Raw genomic sequence first — 22,943 nt, 5'->3', positions numbered from 1 at the left:
GATATGAACAGACACTTCTCAAAAGAAGACATTTATGCAGCCGACAGACACATGAAAAAATGCTCACCATCACTGGCCATCAGAGAAATGCAAATCAAAACCACAATGAGGTACCATCTCACACCAGTTAGAATGGCGATCATTAAAAAGTCAGGAAACAACAGGTGCTGGAGAGGATGTGGAGAAACAGGAACGCTTTTACACTGTTGGTGGGAGTGTAAACTAGTTCAACCATTGTGGAAGACAGTTTGGCGATTCCTCAGGGATCTAGAAGTAGAAATACCATTTGACCCAGCCATCCCATTAGTGGGTATATGCCCAAAGGACTATAAATCATGCTGCTATAAAGACACATGCACACGTATGTTTATAGCAGCACTATTCACAATAGCAAAGACTTGGAACCAACCCAAATGTCCAACAATGATAGACTGGATAAAGAAAATGTGGCACATATACACCATGGAATACTATGCAACCATAAAAAGGATGAGTTCATGTCCTTTGCAGTGACATGGATGAAGCTGGAAACCATCATTCTCAGCAAACTATCACAAGGACAGAAAACCAAACACCACATGTTCTCACTCAAAGGTGGGAACTGAACAATGAAATCACTTGGAAACAGGGCGGGGAACATCACACACCGGGGCCCGTCGGGGGCTGGGGAGCTGGGGGAGGGAAAGCATTAGGAGAAATACCTAATGTAAATGACGAGTTAATGGGTGCAGCAAACCAACATGGCACATGTATATATATGTAACCAACCTGCAAGTTGTGCACATGTACCCTAGAACTTAAAGTATAATAATAATAATAATAATAATAAAGGCTCCAAAAGATAAGGACAGATGAACCTGGTTCTACTGTGGTGACAGGTGCGTCCTCCCAGAATGTGAAAGTTATGCTGCAGCATGAGAGAGGAGCAGGAGAGCAGCCGGAGAAGTCCTCGAGGTACAGACAAGCTTGACAGGTTCTAGAGACCGAGGGTGGCCGGAGCGCAGGGGTGCTTGGGGTCTGGTGGGGGCAGCACAAGGGCCCGGTCACCTTGACCACAATGGGATCTGCTGACGGCGTTTAAAGAAAGGAAGCAGTGACGGGAACAGTAATATGATCAGTCTTGGGTTTTAGAAAGATTGCTTTGTGTCCTTTTCTACAAAAAAGGATTGATTGAGCGACTCCTAGATGGGTTTTGTGTCACGCTAACACTGTTCAAATAAATGACCTAGATCTGCATGTCTCAACGTGAGTCAATTTCATAAACAAAATTTTGAATTTCGGAAGCTTTGCAGTTGCAAAAAGATACTGGATAATTCTATTTATGTATATTTTAAACATTAAAAAACACCTATGTCTTTTATGGAAGTGTAAAAACAGAGAGAGGAAGGACAGGCATGGATTCTTGTGTATTGATCACTTCTGAAGAGGAGGCCGGGGACGGGACCACAGGGCTTCCAGTGTCTCTGTTCACCACATAGACCGTATCATTCAGGTTCCTTCTTTGTGTGTGTGTGTGCGTGGTTTTTTTTTTTTTTTTTTTTTTTTTTGGAGAGATAGGGTCTCACTATGTTGCCAGGCTGTCTTCAACTCCTGGGCTCCCCTGGTCCTCCTGCATCAGCCTCCTGAAGAGCTGAGATTACAGGAGTGAGGCACCACGCCTGGCCTCATCTAGTTTCTTACAAACAAACAAAAAATATTTGAAGCCTAAGTGGCAAAACGATAACATGTATTAAATCTTAGTGGGATCCATGAGCGTTTCTTTATATTGCATTATGGTGTTTGAAATATTTTACAATTTAAAACGTAATGCCATATGTTTAAACAACTACCATTATTTATCAATTAAGTAATCTGGCCTGCTAATAAAAATGAATGCAAACCATACAACCTTAAACACACCTAAGTACAGTTAATCACCAGGTAAGAATTCTTCATGCCTCTGCTGCTGAGTAACTTAGTTACTAAAAGTTCCAGCCAAGTGGAAATACGGGAATCTAAATAAAAACTCGTGTTTTGTCCTTTTTAAAGTTCTGAGCTGTTGGTTTCATAAAAGAGAGACTTGTCCAAGATTACAAACAAGTTATGGCAGAGTTGGATGTAGAACAGATTCCCAAACTCTGCCTTTTCTAATAATCTCATGGGTTTATTTGCATCGTTGGTATAAACTGAAAGGAGGGCAGAAACCCGTCTCCTACTTCTTTTTTGTGTTTTGTTTCAGTTAAGATTTGACAGAGTCCCAATTCTACTGCACCTGCATCATCAAAACTGTCAGCAGGATTCTCAAAAGTAGGATATTCAGCTTGTACTTGCCACTCAGACTTTGTGATGGGGGAACAATGACCATTGGCTGCTTTAGATCCAGGGAAAATGCCTGAGATCCCCAAAGGCAAGCACAACGTGGCCAACCCCAAACCAGCAGGTGACTGAGTGCAAAGGGAAGGAAGGTTGATGACATGAGAATTGATTTGTCATTGTTACTGATATTTTAGCTACTATTTTTGATGCAGAAATCAAGACTTGTGGTCTGTCAAACAAGAGTGCAGTTATGTGAGCAGGAAGAGACAGTTTCATATCCAGATGGTCCTGCAATTGCCACGCGGGAGTGTGGATGCAAAACCGATGTGTCTACAATTATACCTTGAGACTGAATGGGAACAACCTGATGTTATCATTCGTTCTTTACAAACTCTTTTAACGTCTCACTAAATATGATTTATAGATGAAGATTGTCAACATACTGGTTTTTACTTCATTGTTTGTTAGAGACAAGGTCTCACTCTGTCACCCAGGCTGGGTTGCAGGGGTGCAATCATGGCTCACTGCAGCCTGGGACTCCCAAAGCGCTGAGATTCACAGGCATGAGCCAATGCACCTGGCCAACATATTTTTATTTCGTGTTTTTCTCTAAAATGCAGGTTTGAAGTTAACGACTGTAGCGTGTTCGGGGTGAGATGAGAGAACAGTTCAGTCTCACAAAGGTTATTATTTAGGAAAACAAGGATCCCACCTTGGTAAACGCCACATGGCACCCAGGCTGGAAGCTGAGCAGGCTGCCGTGTGTGGCTTGCCGGGCGCCGGGCGCCAGGACAGACGCTGCTGTGGAAGAGCATCTCCCCTGGAGACTGTCCAGTGTTCGGAATTCCCGAGGGGGAACCCCTAAGCGCATGAGACAGTTTCAGAGGAATAAAGCCAGGTGGCGCGGGAGTCGGCCAGGTCAGGCAGGCTGCCTCTCTGCAGAGAAGCAAAGCACACCCTGATCTTTGCTCTGACGAGCTCCTGACAGCTCACCCTCACCAAGGTCTGTGTGGGCTCCACCAGTGGACACCTCACGAGGTGCTCTCCTGTAAGAGCTCTGCCTTCTCCTGCCGGGTCACCTGCATTCGGCCATCGGCCACCCTCTTTGGGGGTCTCCAGTGAGCCACCTCCCACTCTGACTGGCTGTCGGCAACAGGAGTTCCTACAGAAGGGCTTCTGATTTTGTACAGGGGCTTCCGAGGACCCAGGGCATACTGTGGATGCCCCTTAGAGCATGAGAATGCAATACCTGATCAGACTGCCAGGCCATTCCACCCTGATTCAAAAGCACATGACCTTGTAATCGCAGCGACTCAGGCTGTGAAACACCCTTATGTTGGGCTTTGCAAACAGAGACCCTTTCAGATAACAGCCGAGAAGGCCAAACAGCAGCAACGTGGCCTGAAACGTACGTGGCCTTAAAGTGGGGTTTCATTTCCAATGATCGGCTGCCACTTTCGTTTAATGATACGAGATTTTACTGCAGGAGATGCCACTAAACTAATCACAGTTTGTTTCAAAAGTCTGCCACATCTGCCCAAATGCTATGAGTTCCTGCTCCTGTGGGAAGTCAAGTTTGGAGTGCCTATCACACGTGTGCTTTTTAGGGGGCCACTCACCTAGCTGTTCATGTGTGACTTTTCATTCATTTTTAAACATTTTTTTAGAGACGGGGCCACGCGTGGAGGCTCATGCCTGTAATCCCAACACATTGGGAGGCTGAGGCGGGGGGATCGCAAGGTCAGGAAACTGAGACCATCCTGCCTAACACGGTAAAACCCCGTCTCTACTAAAAACACAAAAAATTAGCCAGGTGTGGTGCGGGCAGCTGTTGTCCCAGCTACTTGGGAGGCTGAGGCAGGAGAACGGCGTGAACCCGGGAGGCAGAGCTTGCAGTGAGCCGAGATCACGCCACTGCACTCCAGCCTGGGTGAAAGTGCAAGACTCTGTCTCAAAAAAAAAAAAAAAAAAAAAAAAAAACTTTTTTAGAGATGGGGTCTCACTATGTTGCCCAGGCTGGTCCCGAACTCCCAGGCTCAAGTGATCCTCCCACCTCGGCCTCCCAAAGTGTTTGGATTACAGGCATGGGCCACTGTGACTGGCCCACGTGTGACTCTTTTTTTATTTTTCTAAATTTTTTTCAGACGGTCGCTCTTGTTGCCCAGGCAATGGCGCGATCTTGGCTCACTGCAACCTCTACCACCCAGGTTCAAGTGATTCTCCTGCTTCAGCCTCCCGAGTAGCTGGAACTAAAGGTGCCTGCCACCACGCCCAGCTAATTTTTGTATTTTTAGTAGAGACGGAGCTTCACCTTGTTGGCCAGGCTGGTCTCAAACTCCTGACCTCAGGTGATCCACCCACCTTGGCCTCCCAAAGTTCTGGGATTACAGGCGTAAGCCACCACGCCCAGCCCCATGTGTGACTTTTTCCAGTTTGTATGTTAGACTTCAATAAAATTTTCTTTAAAAAGCAATTCCTGCATCCAAGCAGTCTCCAAATTAATTGGGAGAGATAAGCTGAACACATGTGAAATACATTTCAACATTCATGGTCTTATTTGCACAAGACTGCCCCAGGTCCTATAGGTAACACATTTCAACATTCATGGTCTTATTTGCACAAAACTGCCCCAGGTCCCATAGGGACAGTGTGAAAAGTCATCAGCTTGACCCTCATGGAGGTGCCACCAAGCACAACTAGTGAAGACCAAAAGCAGAAAAGATGCATCATGAGGTCATGCAGCCAGTGCTGAGGGGGGTGTTACAAGATAACCCGACGGATGATGGAAATAGGGAACGAGACAATCCCCAGCGCCCTGGTCAGGTCACGGAGCGGTGGCAGGCACAGGGTTACAAGGAGCACCCAGCTGCCTGGGACAGGACTTCAGGAAAAGGAGCATCGTGACTGGGGACAGATGTATGGTGGCTGTTACATCCTGGCTGAGAAGTTCAGCTGTGATGACCTGGCCTAGATGAGGTCATCCTTTTTGGAGCATGGGGGTGCACACAGGGTGGCAGCAGAGGCGGCAGGATTCACTGGGGACACAGCAGACTATGCCCAAGGCTGCCAAGTTCTAGGTGTGGCTCTGCTTTTGTGGGTGGCACAGAAGTGAGTCCATCCAACTCATGGCCTCTAGCAGGTCACTGCTGCCTCGGGGCACACACACCCAACATGTGGCAGGAGGGGACTGGGTACAGTCAACATTATCTAAACCAAGCCTCACCCAGGACATCAAAAGAGCCCACCTGGCTCATGCCTGTAATCCCAGCACTCTGAGAGGCCAAGGTGAGTAGATCACTTGAGGTCAGCAGTTCAACACCAGCCTGGACAACATGGCAATACCCCATGTCTACTAAAAGTACAAAAATTAGTTGGGCATGGTGGTGTGTGCCTATAATCCCAGCTACTCAGGAGGCTTAAACCTGGGAGGTGGAAGTTGCAGTGAGCTGAGATCACACCACTGCACTCCAGCCTGGGTGACACAGTGAGATCCTGTCTAAAAAAAAAAAAAAAAGTGCTCAGCAACTCATACTAAAAGTTTACTTCTGATGAATTGGCCCCTTTGGCATTATAAAATGCTGCTTGCATTGTACAAAGCTTCTGAGTGCTGCTTGACAGTTTTAACTTGAAGTGGATTTTATCTTATATAAGCATAGCTCCCTCTGCTCTCTAATGCTTTCAATTTGCGTGGAGTATCTGTTCCCATCCCTTCACTCTCAACCTGTGTTTCCTCAAAGGCCAGTGGGTCTCTTGTAGGCAGCATATAGTGGGGTCTTATATGTTTTTTTAACCCATTCATGCACTCTATGTCTCTTGATTGGAGAACTGAATGCATTTATGTTCAAGGTAATTATGATAGGTAAGAACTTACTATTCCCATTTTCTTAATTGTTTTCTGGTTGTTTTGTAGGTCTTTTGTTCCTTTCTTCCTCTCTTGCTGTCTTCCTTTATGATTAGACTTTCTCTTGTGGTATGCTTTGATTCTTGACTTTCTACCTTTTGTGTACCTACTGTAGGTTTTTGCTTTGTGGTCACCATGAGGCTTACATAAAATACCTTATAGTTGTAACAGTCTATTTTAAGCTGACGATTTAACTGATTCAATAAAATAACTCTATACTTTTAACTCCTGCCCCCCACCCATTTTATGTTTTTGATGTCACAAATGACAGCTTTTTGTGCTGTATATCCCTTAACATATTACCATAGCTGTATTAACCAGGGTTCTCCAGAGAAGCAGAACCAACAGAAAGGCTAGATAGACCGGTAGATGAGAGGGGATTTGCTAGGGGAACTGGCTCACACAGTTATTGAGGCTGAGAATCCCACAACAGGCTATCTGCAAGCTGGAGAACCAGAGAAGCCAGTGGCATGGCTCAGTTTATTGTCAGAGGCCTCAGAACCAGGGAAGCGAATAGAATAACTCAGTCCAAAGCTGAAGGCCTGACAACCCAGGGGACCACTGATGCAAGTCCCAGAGTCCAAAGGCTGGAGAACCTTGAGCTTTTATGTCCAAGGGCAGAAGAAGACGGTGTCCCAGCTCCAGGACAGGGGAGAGTGGGAGAGGCAGAGAAAGAATTTGCCCTTCTTCTGCCATTTTCTTCTATCTGGGCTCTCAGACAATTGGACGGTACTGAGGGCAAATCTTCCTCACACTGGTTCAAATGCCAATCTCTTCCAGGAACACCCTCACAGACACTTCCAGAAATAATACTTTACGAGCTATTGGGGTGTCCCTTAATCTACTCAAGTTGACACCTTGAAATTAACCATCACAGTATCTTTTACTGTTTTAATAGTTTTGTCTTTTAGCCTTCATACTGAAGATGTAGTTAATTTACATACCATCGTTACAGTGTTAGAGTATTGTGAATTCAACCGTGTACTTACATTTACCAGTGAATTTTACACTTTTCAATGTTTTCATGTTACTAATTAGTGTCCTTTTCTTTCAGCTAGAAGAATTCCCTTAAGCATTTCTTATAAGACAGGTCTGGTGGTGGTGAACTCCCTCAGCTGATGTTTGCTTGGCAAAGTCTTTCTCTCCCCTTCATTTCTAAATGACAGCCTTTCTGGGTACAGAAATCTTGGTTGGCAAGTTTTTATTTCCTTCAGCACTTCGAATAGATCACCCTACTCTCTCTTGGCCTGTTAGGTTTCTGCTATGAAATTCACTGACAGGCTCAGGGTCACACAGCCAATTAGTGTTGGCGCTAAAATTAGAAACCAGACGCTGAGATCCTACTGCCCTTGTTACTATTTTGCCCTGTTGCAATGCCAGACATATGAAACAAGCTGAGAAGAAGTCTGTGATCCAACCATTCGCAAAGATTTCCACAAATCCCATGAAACTGCGGGAAACTCAGCCCATGCAACAAGCAGGCAGGCTTTCTGTGGTCATTCAGCTTGAGCAGATTGTTAAAGTCGTGCCGAAAACGGTAAGGCATTCATCTGCTCTCGCTGGCACTCTCTCAGAAAAGACAGTTAACAGAACCAGTAGGAAACATGCTGCCCCTGCCCTGCCCCTGCCCTGGCGGCTGCGTGGTGCCACCTCCAGCTGGCGGAGGCTCCAGGGCAGGGACAAGCACTTCTCAGCACACGCTGCCACCACAAACCACAACCCGGCCATGCCACAGCCCGATGCAGAAGCACGTGGCATCCCCCACGGAAGCTGCCTGCAGTGTGGAGGCAGAGGCTGTAGCTTCATGGAGCTCATTTTAAAAGTTTTGATTAAAGGCTGGGTGTGGTGGCTCACATCTGTAATCCCTGCACTTTGGGAGGCCGAGGCAGGCAGATCATGAGGTCAAGAGATTGGGACCATCCTGGCCAACATGGTGAAACCCCATCTGTACTAAAAATACAAAAATTAGCCAGGCGTGGTGATGCATGCTTGTAATCCCAGCTACTCCGGAGGGTGAGGCAGGAGAAATGCTTGAACCCAGGAGGCGGAGCTTGCAGTGAGCTGAGATTGCGCCACTGCACTCCAGCCTGGTGACAGAGCAAGACCCCATCTCAAAAAAAAAAAAAAAAAGTTTGATTATCAGTATTTCACATCATTTAGGCTGGCACACAGACTGGGCCTCTATCTTCTTATCTCAATATTTGTCCTCAAAATATCAAATCCCATCTAATAAGATGTCATACTTAGACAGGGGATTCTACAAATCCCAAGAGATTCATAGAAAACAAAACCCCACAGCACTTTCAGGTAATTGTACAGATGAAATACTGCCAGCTCAGGCTACAGGGAAAAGATTCAGCACAAAGTGAGACTGGGCACTGCACTCCCAAAGTACTCTGGGCAGGATGCAAGAAAACCTCTCAGCTGCAAACAGAGGCCTCTCCATGGAAAGGAAGAGGGACTCCCCAAAGAGATCCAAGAGCCCAGAGGGTGCAGCCAGGAGTGTGGAAGCCACGCGGGATGAGGCCCGAGCCCTGTCCCGAGGCTGCCAACCTGCACCCAGCTGCACTTCAGGACCGCGTGGGCCACACACCCCTGTCTGCCACACACTTCTCCCTTTCTGAACAGGAAGGTTATGATAGGTACTTTTATGTGTCCCCTTGGCTAGGCCACAGTACCCAGATATTTAGTCAATCACAGTCCAAATGTCACTATGAAGGGTTTTGTTTTGAGACAGAGTCTCACTCTGTAGCCCAGGCTGGAGTGCAGTGGCGCAATCTCGGCTCACTGCAACCTCCGCCCCCTGGGTCATGCAATTCCCATGCCTCAGCCTCCCAAGTAGCTGGGATCACAAGTGCGTGCCACCACACCTGGCTAATTTTTGTGTTTTTAGTAGAGACGGGGTTTCACCATGTTGGCCAGGCTGGTCTCAAACTCCTGACCTCAAGTGATCTGCCTACCTCGGCCTCCCAAAGTGCTGGGATTACAGGCGTGAGCCACTGCACCTGGCCTAAGGGTGTTTTTTAAAGACATGATTAACATTTACATGGGAAGATTTTGAGTAAAGCATGTTTCTATTCACAATATGGGTGGGCCTCGTCCAATCAGTCAAAGCCTTAAAAAGGCGGAGGTTCCCGAGGAGGAGGGACTGCAATGCCAGCACTTCCCTGGCTATCCAGCCTGCCGGCCTGCCCTGCAGATCTCAGACTTGCCCCACCACCATCGGATGAGCCAGGTCCTTCAATCTTGCTCTCTAATCCCTCTCACACGTGCAGACACATGCACACACATGCACACACATGTACCCAGTTGGTTGTGTTTCCCTGGAGAACCCTGACCAGCACGAGGGCCTACAGCAGTTCTCCTGTGCCTGCCCAGGGCTGTGCACTGTGGGCTGGGGGTGGGTCTCTCATTGCTTTGGAACACCAGCCTTTGCATTAGAGGAAGGACTGGAACCCAGGGAGGCACTTTCACACCTGACTTCCATGATGACTTCCTGGAGCCCAAGTCTTGATGCCACAACAGGATGAGACTTGGGGATCGCCGTAGCCTTTTTTATGTGGAAGGGACATGACCTTAGTGGAAAGAGCAGATTCTATTTTCCAAACATGCCGCATGGATGAACCCTGCTCGGCACGCCCATCCCGCCCAGTGAGATTCCCCTGCGCTCACAGTTGAGACCCCGTTCCCTCCCCTTCTACGTGGCAGGCCAGGGACTGAGGGGGAAGCAACACAACATGACCTCCCCGCCTCGTGAGAAAGGTGACCCGGTTCCACCTGGCTGTTTTCTCAGGTCACAGTCCGTGGTGACCCTGACTCAACACACAGGGAGTCCACTGCATCAAGGCTGCCACGCTGCAGCGAGTACATGGACGGTCACACAGTGACAGGGGAAGGTCCCCGAGGGGCCCCTGCTGCGCCAGCCCCCAGTGTGTGAATCCTCCTGGCGCAAGCCTCAGGCAGCAAGTCAGTGGCCTCCATGGTTCCAGCCCTTGGCCTTCAAGCTCCGCATCTGGTGCTGAGTGGCACCAAGGTGAGCTGTGCCCAGCGAGACTGCAGACTTTTAAGCAAAATGAATGCTATTGCTACGAATACAGGAACAGAAAACCAAACACCACGTTCTCACTTATAAGTGGGAGCTGAATGATGAGAACACATGGACTCAGGGAGGGGAACAACACACACTGGGGCCTGTAGAGGGCGGCGGAGGGAGAGCATCAGGATAAAGAGCTAATGCCTGCTGGGCTTAATACCTAGGTGATGGGTTGACAGGTGCAACAAACCACCATGGCACACGTTTACCTATGTAACAAAACTGCACCTCCCGCACATGTACCCTGCAACTTAAAATATAAATAAATGCTATTGTTTTAAGCCACTAAGCTGTGCATGGCTTATTGAACCACCATGATATTGGAACAAGGGTCGTGATACGAATATTCAGAACTGTGAACTGCATCTTGCAGGAATGGGAAGCTATGAAAGGCCCACTATTGTAAGAATTTTAAAAAATAATTGCTCTGAGCTGGGAGTGGTGGTTCATGCCTGTAATCCCAGCACTTTGGGAGGCCAAGGCAGGAAGATCACTTGAGGCCAGGAGTTCGAGACCAGCCTGGCTAACATGCTGAGACCCCATCTCTACTAAAACTACAAAAAAAAATAAATAAATAAGTTGGGTGTGCTGGAGGGCGCCTGTAATCCCAGCTACTCGAGAGACTGAGACATGAGAATTGCTTGAACCCTGGAGGCGGAGGTTGCCGTGAGCTGACATGGTGCCACTGGATTCCAGCCTGGATGACAGAGCCAGACTCCATCTCAAAATATAATAATAATAATAAAAATCATTGTTCTGACTACTGCAGGAGGACCTGTTCAAAGAGAGGATGTGCAGAGCCTCTCCAGAGACTACTGCAGGAGTCCAAGCATGAGATGGAGGTGGCCAGGACAAAGATGGTACACTTCATAGAACCACACCCATATGTATGTCCCCACGACTCTACACCTTTCTAATAAAACAGTAACAATACCAGCTAACATCGGCACCGTGGTTTTTCATTTACAAAACATTCTATGTGCATCTTCCTATTTAATGATTTCACTTTAGGACTCGGGAAGTCTCCATGCTACAAAATTAATCCATATGAAACTCAGTCAAGCTCTAAAGCAGGGGTCTCCAATCTTTTGGCTTCCGTGGGCCACACTGGAAGAATTGTCTTGGGTCACACATAAAATAGACTAACACTAATGATAGATGATGAGCTTAAAAAAAAAAAAAACTCATAATGTTTTAAGAAAGTTTACAAATCTGTGTTGGGCCTCATTCAAAGCTGTCCTGGGCCACATGTGGCTCGTGGCCCATGGGTTGGAGGACCTTGCTCTAAAGTGTGAAGCTCCATCAATTTAACTCAGCCATAAAATCGGCTGACATTACACTTTTACTACACCCTGCTCCAGCGCCCCTCACTGACCTCTCCGTGCTCTAGTCCTCACCACAGGGCCTTTGCACACAATGTTCCCGCAAACTGTCCCCTCCTGGGCTCCTGAGCCACCCCTCTCATCCCTTAGTTCTCGGCCTAACATTCCTCTGTTACGTGCATTCAAGGGAATGTATTCCTCTCCTTCAACGCACTCATCTCCGTGTGTTATTACCTAAGAATTAACGTAATTATATGCTGAATGCCTTTCACTGTATTAACGTCTCAGCTGCAGATAGCAGAGAACTAGGCTGACTTTACTTACAACTGTATTCCCAGCACCTAGGACTGAGCCTGACCCACAGCAGGGTGGGGGGTGGGGGAGCAGGGGAACTCCACAAATATTCAGAAGAGAAGGAAATTCATGCTAATCCTTCAAACAAAATGCACATAAGACATGCAACGGTTTCTATTTCCAAGACAACATTTATTTCAAAATCATTTCTAGCAGGAACCTGGCTGTTGGCAAAAAGTAAACTAGATGCTTTAATTTATTCTTAAAGTTTTTGCTCATTGTTAAATACTTTGCAAACATGTGCTGGATACCAACACTATACTTTTAGCTTAATTACAATGATTTCAAGAGGAAAAAAAAAACAAACTCAAGACCACAATTGACACGATGAGCCCTTGACCTCCGGAGAAGGGCAGATATCGCCCTGAGTCACCAAGGGAACACATGCTGAATGACAGGCTGATTTGTGATCAGGAAACCCGCTGTTCTCCGGGCCCTTCTCAAGCCCACTCAGACACCAGTCCTCCTTGATCACAGCCTTGGATGCAAGGAGGCTTAGAGGCACTGCAGCTGCCTAAGTGATTCCAGATTTGCAGGAGAGCTATTATTACTGAGCAATCTGTGCTCTTGGTATTTAGAAAACAACTGAAACATGTGCCCAGATGGAGGCGTCCACAGCACGGAGAGTCTCTCTGTATCAGCACAGGGACAAAGACGGGACCTGCTGGGCTCCCACTGCCAAGGTTGCTACCTGTACCGGAACATATGGAAACCCCATTGAAGCGGGTTTGTATTGGAGTTTACAAATGATGCGATAAGCTCCAAACCACCTTTCCGGATTCTTCCATCCACCCAGAGCAAGGTGCTCTGAGGTTCAAGTTAGGCCCAGACATCAGTCAACACAGAGTCCTGCTCCCTGGGAATTTCTTTAGTCTCAGAGCCACAACATTTAAGCTTTCTCCCCTCCTCCCAAGCCCAATGCTGGCTTAAATACAGTCACGAATGGTTCAGATGCAGACAGGTTCTGAGAAATGATAGTTAGATAACTTCATCACTGTGCAAACATCACACAGGGCACCTACACACCTAGGCGGTGCAGCCTGCTACACACCTGTGCTCCACTGCACAGACTCCTGCTCCAGACTGCACACCTGTGCAGCGTGCACAATACCGCAGGCAATTGTAACACAATGGTGTTTGTGTATCTACACATTTCTAAGCATGAAAAAGACACAGGGAAAACAGTTTTATAATCTTACAGGACCACCGTCAACTTGGCGGTCTGTAATTGATCCGAACGTGGCTGTGCTACACATCACTATAATGTAAGCAACATCTTTTAACTGATTTTATTATGTGCTGTCCAATGCTATGGCCAGCAATGCCTGTGCAACTGACATGGAAAGTTCAAAGGCTTTACCTCATTACAATTTTTACTTAGTTATGCCCTGATGGGAGCATTGCAATGCCAGTTACCATAAATCTGCACACACGAGGTTGTTGCTGGAGCAAATCTGAAGGCAATGGAACGCTCCCTTCCGTGATGTCAGGAATGGGGAGGATTATTCTAATAATAGCACACTATTAGCTCAGGATAAAAGGCTGAAGGGTTCCATTGACATCCATTAAGGGGTCCTAATTGGAGCCTGAGTAACTGCTCCTTAGTGGGAAATGGAGGCGGGAACCGCGGGGAATCGGGCGAACTTCTCACTCAGGGCCTGAGGGGATGGCTGGAACTTTAAAATCTGACGGCGGCGCCTTTCGTGGGCTGAGTAGAATAAAGCTCGCTGCACTGATTTGTTCCTTTTCTTTTCCTTAGAATAGACACTGGAGTGGGTGGAGGGGGAAACGTGGTTTTGTAGGACTCTAAAGAGGTGGAGGGACTTTGGTTCACCCTCTTTTCATGCTCCAGAATGAGCCCCGCCTGAGAGGAGGGACCCCTGCGGAATCCCGCCCAGACCGCCCGGGGGTCTCCCCAGCACATGGGGCGGGGGCTGCAAGGGGCGCCCGGCAGGACTCGGGAGCCGCGGCGCGGTGGGGCGGGTGGGTCGCGGTGCTCGGGGCTCGCGGGGGTCAGCAGCCAGGACACCCCCGCACCCCGGGCGCAGCGGCGGAGGACCAAGGGCCGCGCTCCCCTCCCCAGGGCCCCGAGTCCAGGAGAGACCCCCGTTCGCTCCGGACAGCCGATCCCCGCGACCGCCGAGAGCCAAGCGGAGCAACCCCGGGAGGAGCCCCCGCCCTGGCCCCGCGCGCTTGGCTTCGGCTTCTGCTCCTGCTTCCGTGCCGGCTGGGGCGGCGGGACCCTCGGCGGGGGCGGTGACTGCGGGCGCGGCGCGGGCGGCTCATTGTCTTCCGGCCGGGGTTGCCGCGTCCCGGGGGAGGGCCTGTGGAGACCCCGCGAGGAGGCCCCCACGCCCCCCACGCGGCCTCCCGGAGGCGGAGCGGAGACCACCCACCGCCGCCCACCCCGCCGCGGGCAGCGCTGCCCCCTCCTCTCCCGGTCCCCCCTCCCCTCCCCTCCGCTCCGCTCCCCTCCCTCCCCTGCCGGCCTCCCCTCCCCGCCTCTCCCCTGCCGGCCTCCCCTTTTCTCCCCTCCCGCCTACTGCCGCTCTCGCCGACCACCTCCCACCCGCCGCCCCCTCCGACCCGCGCCTCGGGCTGCTTCCCGCTCCGCCCGCCAGGCCCCGCCGCTGCCTCCCCGGGGTCCGCCCTACCTCGCCGCGGCTCCTCTTCAGCCGCCGGGCCCGGGACGCGCAGCCAGGCGGGTGGGCTCCGGCGCATGCGCGCGGCCGCTTCCCGGCACCTGTGGGAGCCGCGGCCCGGCCTCTCCGAGCACCTGCGAGCGGGAGCTGCTCCTCCGACCCGCAGCGGGGCGTGGGCGGCAGAGGGGGCGGTGGACAGGCCTCTCCGCCTCTCCAGGCCGCGCGGAGCCAGCGCTCCGGCTCCAGGCTGCGAGGGGCGCGCGCGGGGCGCGGGGAGGGGGGCGGGCGCGTGCACACGGGGCGTTTTCGGGCGCGCGCCCCCTGGCTGGGTCTGCGGAGGGGCTGTGGGTTCCCCGGGGCTTCCCTGCCCCGCGCCTGCCCGCCGGGCGCTTCTCCCCCTCCAGGACCGCGGCCCACGTCGCCACTCGAGCCCGAGCCCGAGCCCGCGCCCACGCGCGGGGGCCGCTTCCTGCGAGGAGGCGGGGACAGGTGTCCGCGGGCGCAAACAGCGGAGTTTCGTGCGCCTATTTTTTGGTAAAAGTAGAGGCGATGCGTTGTTGACATATTTAGTGGTTAAAAACTTATTGCCAAATTCTCAACAGATTCCAGAATTTTTTAAAGTTCACAACACGAGAGTGGACGAAATGTCGGAGCTTTTGCTCATATCCAGAAATGTGGCCTCTGCCTCCCACTCGGGCCCTGCGGTGCAGACGGGTTCAGGGCGGCGAGGACTGAGCCAGGAGCGCCGAGAGTTCCAGCTGCTCCCAGGCTGGGTTCTAATTAACGCTGGACCCCTGCTGGTAAATGCTATTTTTAATGGCTTTGTGCAAATTAATGACGATGAGATTTCCATAAGTACCGAGAGCCAGAGCCTTTACTTTCTCTTTTTGTGTTCTTTTTGCTTGTGACAGTCTTTGCCAGTTCCATGCTGTATACACATAATGAGCCGTTACAACTCCAGCACCAAAGCTAACGCCCCGGGAACATCTTTAAAACCTTTTTCACTCTGTTGCCAAGAAGAGTAGTACCTGCTGTCAGTACTTGAATTACAGGAGGCTGAAACTCAGCGAGCTACTGGGATTTTTTGAAAATTGAAAACTTCCGTTAACTATAGCAGAAACAGACCCTTTTGGTGGAAGCTAAAATAATTCCCATGCTGCTCCGTTTTTATTTTGTTCAGTTTACTCCAAAAATGTTCCAAACTCTACTGTGATCTTCTTAGTGCATCTCTACTTCCTTTCGGCTGCAGAATAATACTTCTTTTTCTCTTTTGTTTTTTTTTAGAGATGGAGTCTCACTCTGTCGCCCAGGCTGGAATGCAGTGGTGCAATCTCGGCTCACTGCGATCTCTGCGTCCTGGGTTCAAGCAATTCTCCTGCCTCAGCCTCCCAAGTAGCTGTGACTACAGGCATGCACCACCACACCCAGCTAAATTTTGTATTTTTAGTAGAGACAGGGTTTCACTGTACATTGGCCAGGCTGGTCTCGATCTCCTGACCTCAAGTGATCCACCTGTCTTGGCCTCCCAAAGTGCTGGGATTACAGGCATGAGCCACCGCGCCTGGCCTAACTACCCCCATTCTTTTCCAGAGAAACGTGAACAGGCCAAACAAAGCCTCACCTGGCTATCCCGCCACCCTGGGGTTGGGCCTCCAAAGGCCCGGGAGGTCACCTAAGACACGGTGTTCTGAACATGCAAGCCCGACAGCATCTTCTCTACCATTCTGCCAGAGTCCAGAGACCTGGGAATAGGTCATACCCCCCACTGCATTTTACAAGCTTGGCATACATTAGGTTCTCAATAAATACTGAATTAATGAAAAAATTGCTGAAGTAACTGAAAACATCCATCCAAACCCCACACCATCTGGTAGATAAGTAGTCTGTGGGGAGTCCCATATTTTTCTTACCTTAGATATTTATTTGGAAATGGACTGTAGGCCCAATATGGTCAATGAAACTTGCAGAGGAACATTTCATGCCTTTAATTAGTTCTTCATAACTGCAGGGACCTCTAGAGTTCCTGAAATTGAACTGGGTTGTAATACTGTCAAGAAAAAGGAGGACCTATCTTAAATCTATTTCAAGGGTAATACTATTTTACTATGTAAATTTTCCCCTGGTCAGGGACAGCCTGATCATGCATGGTAGACTCGAAGCATGCAAATATTTCAACATGCAAAACCGCCCTAAAAATATAACCGAAGCTTATGGAGTTGTCCAGGGTACAGTGGTTTACTGGCCCCTGAATGCGGGACTCCATCAAACTGGGTTCCAGGCTGGGAGGTCTCTGAACCCAATTTCTAGACAGCCTGCTTTGGAGTTCAACTGATGGGACCTTAGACACCAGCCTTACCCTCTGCAAGTCTTGTGATTTGGAGCCAGATACTTGGCCTCTCTGTGCTCCAGGGAGACACCACTGCACCTACCTGAGAGGACTGAAGGAGAGGATCTGTGCAACTCACTCAGGATACTGGATCTTAAGCCAATGGGTGGACTTACATTCGTCACCTCTGATTCTGTCTCCTCCTGCGCGGTGACTTAGCAAACACTTCTTCCTCTCCAGCTCTGCTTCTTACTCTCCAGCTCTGCTGCCCTGTTCCAGTGCTGACGCCAGACAACAGATAATTTCCCAAATGCTTGTATTAGCCCTTAGGAGTTCATGTGTTCCTCCCCCAGCCAATAAAGCTGTTAAATCCCAATAACTGTCAGGAATGGAGCCAATTGCTATAAAGTACTTCCAGCTTCTTGGCATGAAGAAATAATTAGAATATATGTGTTGGCTTTGAAACAACACTCACTGGTTCATTAAAAAATTCTGTGCATATTGTACAAAAGTAGTCTTGGCCTTGGCACTCCCTTAGGTGAACCTTACCCGGCCCTGGCACTCCCTTAGGTGAACCTTACCCGGCCCTGGCACTCCCTTAGGTGAACCTTACCTACTTCAGTGCTTCCTCAGCTCTGATGAACTGTGTGCAATTGCGTTTTTGTCGCAAGCTGCTGCTTAAATACTGTGAAGCTCTTTCCTTATGTCAGTCTCTCCACCTATGTTACCAGCCAGCGCCTGAGACCCTCATATTAAGGAAACAGTGTGTTCCTAAGTCCTCTTTGATATTGTCCACTATTGACTATCGATAGCAAACATGCATTGGCCATGTGCTAAGCATGTCATTCCCCAAATTTTATTTTTTTGAGACAGTTTCGCTCTTGTTGCCCAGTGTGAAGTGGAATGGTGTGATCTCAGCGTACTACAACCTCCACCTTCCGGGTTCACGTGATTCTCCTGCCTCAGACTCCCGAGTAGTTGGGATTACAGGTGTGTGCCACCACGCCCGGCTAATTTTTTTTATTTTTAATAGAGATGGGGTTTCACCACGTTGGTCAGTCTGGTCTCAAACTCCTGACCTGAGGTGATCCACCCACCTCGGCCTCCCAAAGCGCTGGGATTACAGGCGTGAGCCACCGTGCCTGGACCCCAAATTTTAAATTACAGACAGTCCCAGGTTTAAGATGATACCCTAATTGTCCTGATTCGAATAGGGAAACGGAGGCCATGCTTTTTAGTTTTGTACCCCTGGGCCCAGCAATGTGAGGGCATGAAGCCAAGCTCGGTAATTGTTGACTAAATGAAGGAGTGAGGCCTGTTGAGCCCAAATGCCCATTGCTCATCATCCCTGACAGGCTCTCCCAGGGGCTGCAGGGGCCTGGGCACGTGGTTCCCTCAAGCAGATTGCAGGTTACCCACAGGCAACACGCTCTGCCAGTGAATTAACGCTGCTGTCTCCACATGGCCAGTACGTTTATTAGGGGGAATCCTAGTAACCATTTTTCAGAAAAATAAAGGAAATAAGATGGCAACCATTACTTTAAAATAGTTTCAAGGCATATATTAATAATGTTAGAGCAAGTTAGCTGCAATTTAAAATATTTTGAGGGTCGGGGGCAGTGACTCACATCTGTGGTCCCAGCACTTTGGGAGGCTGAGGCGGGCAGATTGCCTGAGCCTAGGAGTTGGAGACCAGCCTGGGCAACATGGAGAAACCCTGTCTCCACAAAAATACAAAACATTAGCCGGGCGTGCTGGCGTGCACCTGTAGTCCCAGCTACTCAGGAGGCCGAAGTGAGAGGATTGCTTGAGCCTGGGAGGTTGAGGCTGCTCTGAGCCATGATTGCGCCACTGCACTCCAGCTGGAGCAACACAGTGAGACCCTGTCTCAAATATATATATTTATGTATTTTAAATATAAATTTTATGTTATATTTATATTTATATATTTATATATATTTATATAGATTTATAGATTTATAGATTTATAGATTTTATTATTTATAAAATCTATAAATATATAAATATATATAAATATATAAATATATAAATATATATTATATATAAAATATAAAATATATATTTATATATAAAATATAAAATATATATTTATATATAAAATATAAAAATATATATTACATAATATAAAAATATATTTTATATATATTTTATTATATATAATATATAATATATTTATAAATATACATTTTCCATATAAAATTTATAAATATACATTTTCCATATAAAATTTATAAATATACATTTTCCATATAAAATTTATAAATATACATTTTCCATATAAAATTTATAAATACAGATTTTATATATAAATTTATAAATATAGATTTTATATAAATTTATAAATATGTATTTTATATATAAATTTATAAATATATATTTTATATATAAATTTATAAATATATATTTTATATATAAATTTATAAATATATATTTTATATATAAATTTATGTTTTAAATCTAAAACATATAAAATATATGTTTTAAATCTGAAACATGTAAAATAGATGTTTTAAATCTGAAACATGTAAAATAGATGTTTTAAATCTGAAACATGTAAAATAGATGTTTTAAATCTGAAACATGTAAAATAGATGTTTTAAATCTGAAACATGTAAAATAGATGTTTTAAATCTGAAACATGTAAAATAGATGTTTTAAATCTGAAACATGTAAAATAGATGTTTTAAATCTGAAACATGTAAAATAGATGTTTTAAATCTGAAACATGTAAAATAGATGTTTTAAATCTGAAACATGTAAAATAGATGTTTTAAATCTGAAACATGTAAAATAGATGTTTTAAATCTGAAACATGTAAAATAGATGTTTTAAATCTGAAACATGTAAAATAGATGTTTTAAATCTGAAACATGTAAAATAGATGTTTTAAATCTGAAACATGTAAAATAGATGTTTTAAATCTGAAACAAGTAAAATAGATGTTTTAAATCTGAAACATGTAAAATAGATGTTTTAAATCTGAAACATACAAAATGTATTTTTTTCAAGGTATCTTTTAATAATGTTAAAACAAGTTATCTACAATTTCCACATAAATATTCATGGTATATCTATATGTGGTCTATCTACGGTTCCAAAAATAACAGGTGGTAGCGACTATTTCCATTTCTCAGTTGAGGAAACTTAACATTCGAAGAGGTCTGCCTAACTCATTCAGGGGCACGCCTTTTCCGTGAGGCGGAGCTAGGGCTCAGATCCTAACTCAGGGCCCTTGTTTACAGCAGTCGCCAAGGAGAACTGCTGTCCAGAGGGGTGAGCAGGTCTGTGCTACAGGACGTGCTTCGTACAGCAGGAATCTGTATGCTAAAAATAACTAAAACTGGCATCCCAGCACCTCCTATAGCTTAATTTCACCCCATGGGTTTCCATACCAATCCTGAAAATATTTCGTGCTATGATTTGAAAGTTATCCTTAGAGTGTAAATGTCCCAGCGTGCATCCTCTTGAACTTGTCTGGGTCGCCCGAGATGGCAGGAACCCCGAGTTCGACGTCAGCAGCAGGAGGTGGCCTGTGGCTGGTACAGCCCAGGAACTGGGATGCGGCCAGGGTTGGCCATCCTGCCAGCGAGGCAGGACCTCCGCAAGGGTGTGTCCTGTTGTCACATAAATCAGTTCTAAACCATGCTGCTATCACTAGAAAAGAGTATTAGCCATAGCTTTGATGCTGTGCAAGGCTCAACAAGACAAAAACCCGAGTAAAAGTGTATCTGTGGTGTTCCTGATCCCACTGCTGGTAATACAGTGACTGCAAACAGATTTCATTTTCAAGCCACTAGTTACTTAGAATAGGTATAAGTAATACATCCTCAAACGTATAAATCCAGTAGGACCATCTGCCAAATAACACATTATTGTGAGCCACAGTTTAAAGATTGTTAAGGGTTGAATCGTGTCCTGAAGAACAACATCCGTTGAAGACCTAAGCCTCGTCCCTTGGAAGGTGACTGTATTTGGAAAGAGGCTTTTTTAGAGGTGATTGCGTTAGTGTGAGTTCGTTAGGGCAGGCCCTCATCCAGCATGAGTGGAAAGAAGTGGAAATTCAGACACAGAGACACACACAGAAAGAAGATGATGTGGGGGTGCCCAGGGAGGAGGGGGGTGCGGGTAGGCGGGGATTGCAGCGATGACCTGCCAGCCACAGAAAGTGGGGAGGGTTCCTGTCCACACTGGCAGCTGGAAGAGATGGGAAGCCTGCTCCCCAGATCCTTTGAGGGAGCGTGGCCCTGCTGACGTCTTGATCGTCAGTGTCTGGCCTCCAGAACTGCGGAGAATCCACCTCTGTGGTTTTCAGCACCCCTTCCCCCATCCCCCCGCGTGTGGTACTGTGTCACAGCAGTGCCAGGACGCTCATTCCAGGGTTTTGTGTCTCTTCCATACAGGCAGGGCTTTCCACGCTATTGGGAGTGACATGTCAGTTTATGATTTTAAAGTTTTCAATCCTTTATAGACAGACAGCATTTCAATTTGCAATACAAATAAAAATTGTAAAAGACATACAAAATACAAAACCATTACCTTAGGTTAAACAGGTGCAAAATCACGCTGTCAAACTGGTACACAACTTTCTAAACACTGGTTTTAGTTTTAGTACTGGTGGCGATGTTGGTCCTTCCTGGAGGGTTCATGGCCCACAATTGTCACACTTTGAGCTGCATAGCTAAGGGTCACCGGGTAATGACTGAGCAATTGGCTGGTCCCGGAGAAACGCAATGCGAATCCGTGTCCTGGCAAAGGCCTCACCGTGCCAGGTGGGCGCAGCTGGAGTGCTTCCCAGACTCGGTTTTTCCAAACAAAGTCTTCCGGCCGAATTAGGCAATACACTTGGGAAAAAGTACTTGTGGGGTATAAATGTTTGAAAATGGCTCTAAACTATTTCCATCAATATAAGAGGATATCTAAGTGCTCAGCCAAATAGACCTCGATGTCTTCTGACCAGGATGACGAATCGCTCCTTCCGGCTGCTGTCTGGGATTAAAATGCTACTGTTTGTAGGGTGCCAGGAAATCACTTTAAAAAACACTAACAGTGAAACTCGGATGGCCTCCCTGTGTAACACCCAGGCCTTTCGGGATGTGGGGATGCACGGGGTTGTGTACTTAGGAGGGTGCGGGACACTGATCAGCTGCAGAGCTTCTGCTCGGGCGCCCTGGGAGGTAGGTCAGCCGCCTGTGCAGCTGCATGGGGCTGGGTCACAGGGAGTGGTCAGACCCGACCTTCCTCCCCGGCTGCCCCTCCCCCAGCTCCAAGGGTGTCTTCTGCAGCAGGAGGCGTGGGAAGTGAGGAGAGTGGGGGCTGACCACAGAGCCTCTCCCAGCTCCACCTGGCTCTGTGGTCCCTGCAGCCCTGAAGCCCCCACACCATCCTGAGAGCCCCTGTTCCTGGCATCCCAGGCGGGAGCCTGCAGGGAGCTCTGGGAGCCACAGAGGAGAGGACTCGGAGGAGACCGGGTCAGAGGGGGGTTGGCAGGACCTTCTGCCCTGGGCGTTTCCTCAGATGGCTTTGCCCTCCTTCTGGGCAGCCCCAGCTGCTCAGCAGTCCCCAGCTTCAGTGGGTTCTTTGCTGGAAAGGACCTGCAATCCTCAAACTGCTTTGGCCTCTGCACCTTCCAGCAGGACCCTGCTGCGATCAGAACTCCTGTGTCCAAATTTTAACACACCAGAGAGTCTCCAGAGAAGTCGCCTGCCGTACCGGGGTCCCACCAGACAGAGCTGAGACAGGAAAGGGACTCTGGATCCTAGGGAACCACAGACCTGGAGCGGTGGTGGGCAGTGTTGGGGGCGCCTGTTGGAATGGACAGCTCTCAGGTAACTCTTGAACCAAAGCACATGCTGAGGAAGGTGAGCGGTGGCAGGCAGGTGGCTCTGTCTGGCCTGGAGGATTGTGTCTCTTTCTCCTCTGCTTCCATTTTCACATCTCCTTCTCCGTCTCTGCCTCCTTCTTAAACAGACCCCTCTGATCAGGCTGGGCC

At 47.9% G+C, this 22,943-nt stretch overlaps 1 protein-coding gene and 2 long non-coding RNA genes across 6 annotated transcripts in view, besides 2 other annotated features; 1 reads left to right on the top strand and 2 right to left on the bottom strand.

Moving 5' to 3' along the window:
* Positions 1 to 14,878, bottom strand: part of KBTBD11 (kelch repeat and BTB domain containing 11) — a 33,260-nt gene extending 18,382 nt beyond the window's left edge. For all 3 annotated transcript variants that reach the window (XM_011534772.3, XM_017014116.2, NM_014867.3), the window contains exon 1: positions 14,620 to 14,878. The gene's annotated coding sequence lies outside the window, so the exon portion shown is untranslated. The remainder of the gene's footprint in view (positions 1 to 14,619) is intronic.
* Positions 9,450 to 10,008: an enhancer, noted in NCBI's record as "H3K4me1 hESC enhancer chr8:1926713-1927271 (GRCh37/hg19 assembly coordinates)". NCBI's record gives its function as "activates a minimal SCP1, AML or CMV promoter by ChIP-STARR-seq in naive H9 embryonic stem cells {active_cell/tissue: H9 hESC(naive)}" and the evidence as "EXISTENCE:reporter gene assay evidence [ECO:0000049][PMID:30033119]".
* Positions 10,009 to 10,568: an enhancer, noted in NCBI's record as "H3K4me1 hESC enhancer chr8:1926153-1926712 (GRCh37/hg19 assembly coordinates)". NCBI's record gives its function as "activates a minimal SCP1, AML or CMV promoter by ChIP-STARR-seq in naive H9 embryonic stem cells {active_cell/tissue: H9 hESC(naive)}" and the evidence as "EXISTENCE:reporter gene assay evidence [ECO:0000049][PMID:30033119]".
* Positions 12,111 to 17,158, bottom strand: KBTBD11-OT1 (KBTBD11 overlapping transcript 1). The gene is made up of 3 exons (NR_126346.1): positions 17,037 to 17,158; positions 16,518 to 16,630; positions 12,111 to 12,656 (listed from the first exon to the last, which is right to left on the bottom strand). It is a non-coding gene; the product is annotated as a KBTBD11 overlapping transcript 1 (long non-coding RNA).
* On the top strand, positions 15,210 to 17,376 carry KBTBD11-AS1 (KBTBD11 antisense RNA 1). Of its 2 annotated transcripts, NR_136274.1 has the most exons (4): positions 15,210 to 15,407; positions 15,519 to 15,640; positions 15,892 to 16,015; positions 16,198 to 17,376. It is a non-coding gene; the product is annotated as a KBTBD11 antisense RNA 1 (long non-coding RNA). The 2 variants fall into 2 exon arrangements; NR_136275.1 differs by lacking the exon at positions 15,519 to 15,640.
* The last annotated feature ends 5,567 nt before the right edge of the window (positions 17,377 to 22,943 follow it).

The sequence above is a fragment of the Homo sapiens genome, chromosome 8 (genome assembly GCF_000001405.40).
Source record: "Homo sapiens chromosome 8, GRCh38.p14 Primary Assembly".
NCBI lineage: Eukaryota > Metazoa > Chordata > Mammalia > Primates > Hominidae > Homo > Homo sapiens.
The sequence above is the reverse complement of the archived record's forward strand: the minus strand, read 5'-3'. Positions and strand labels throughout refer to the sequence as shown.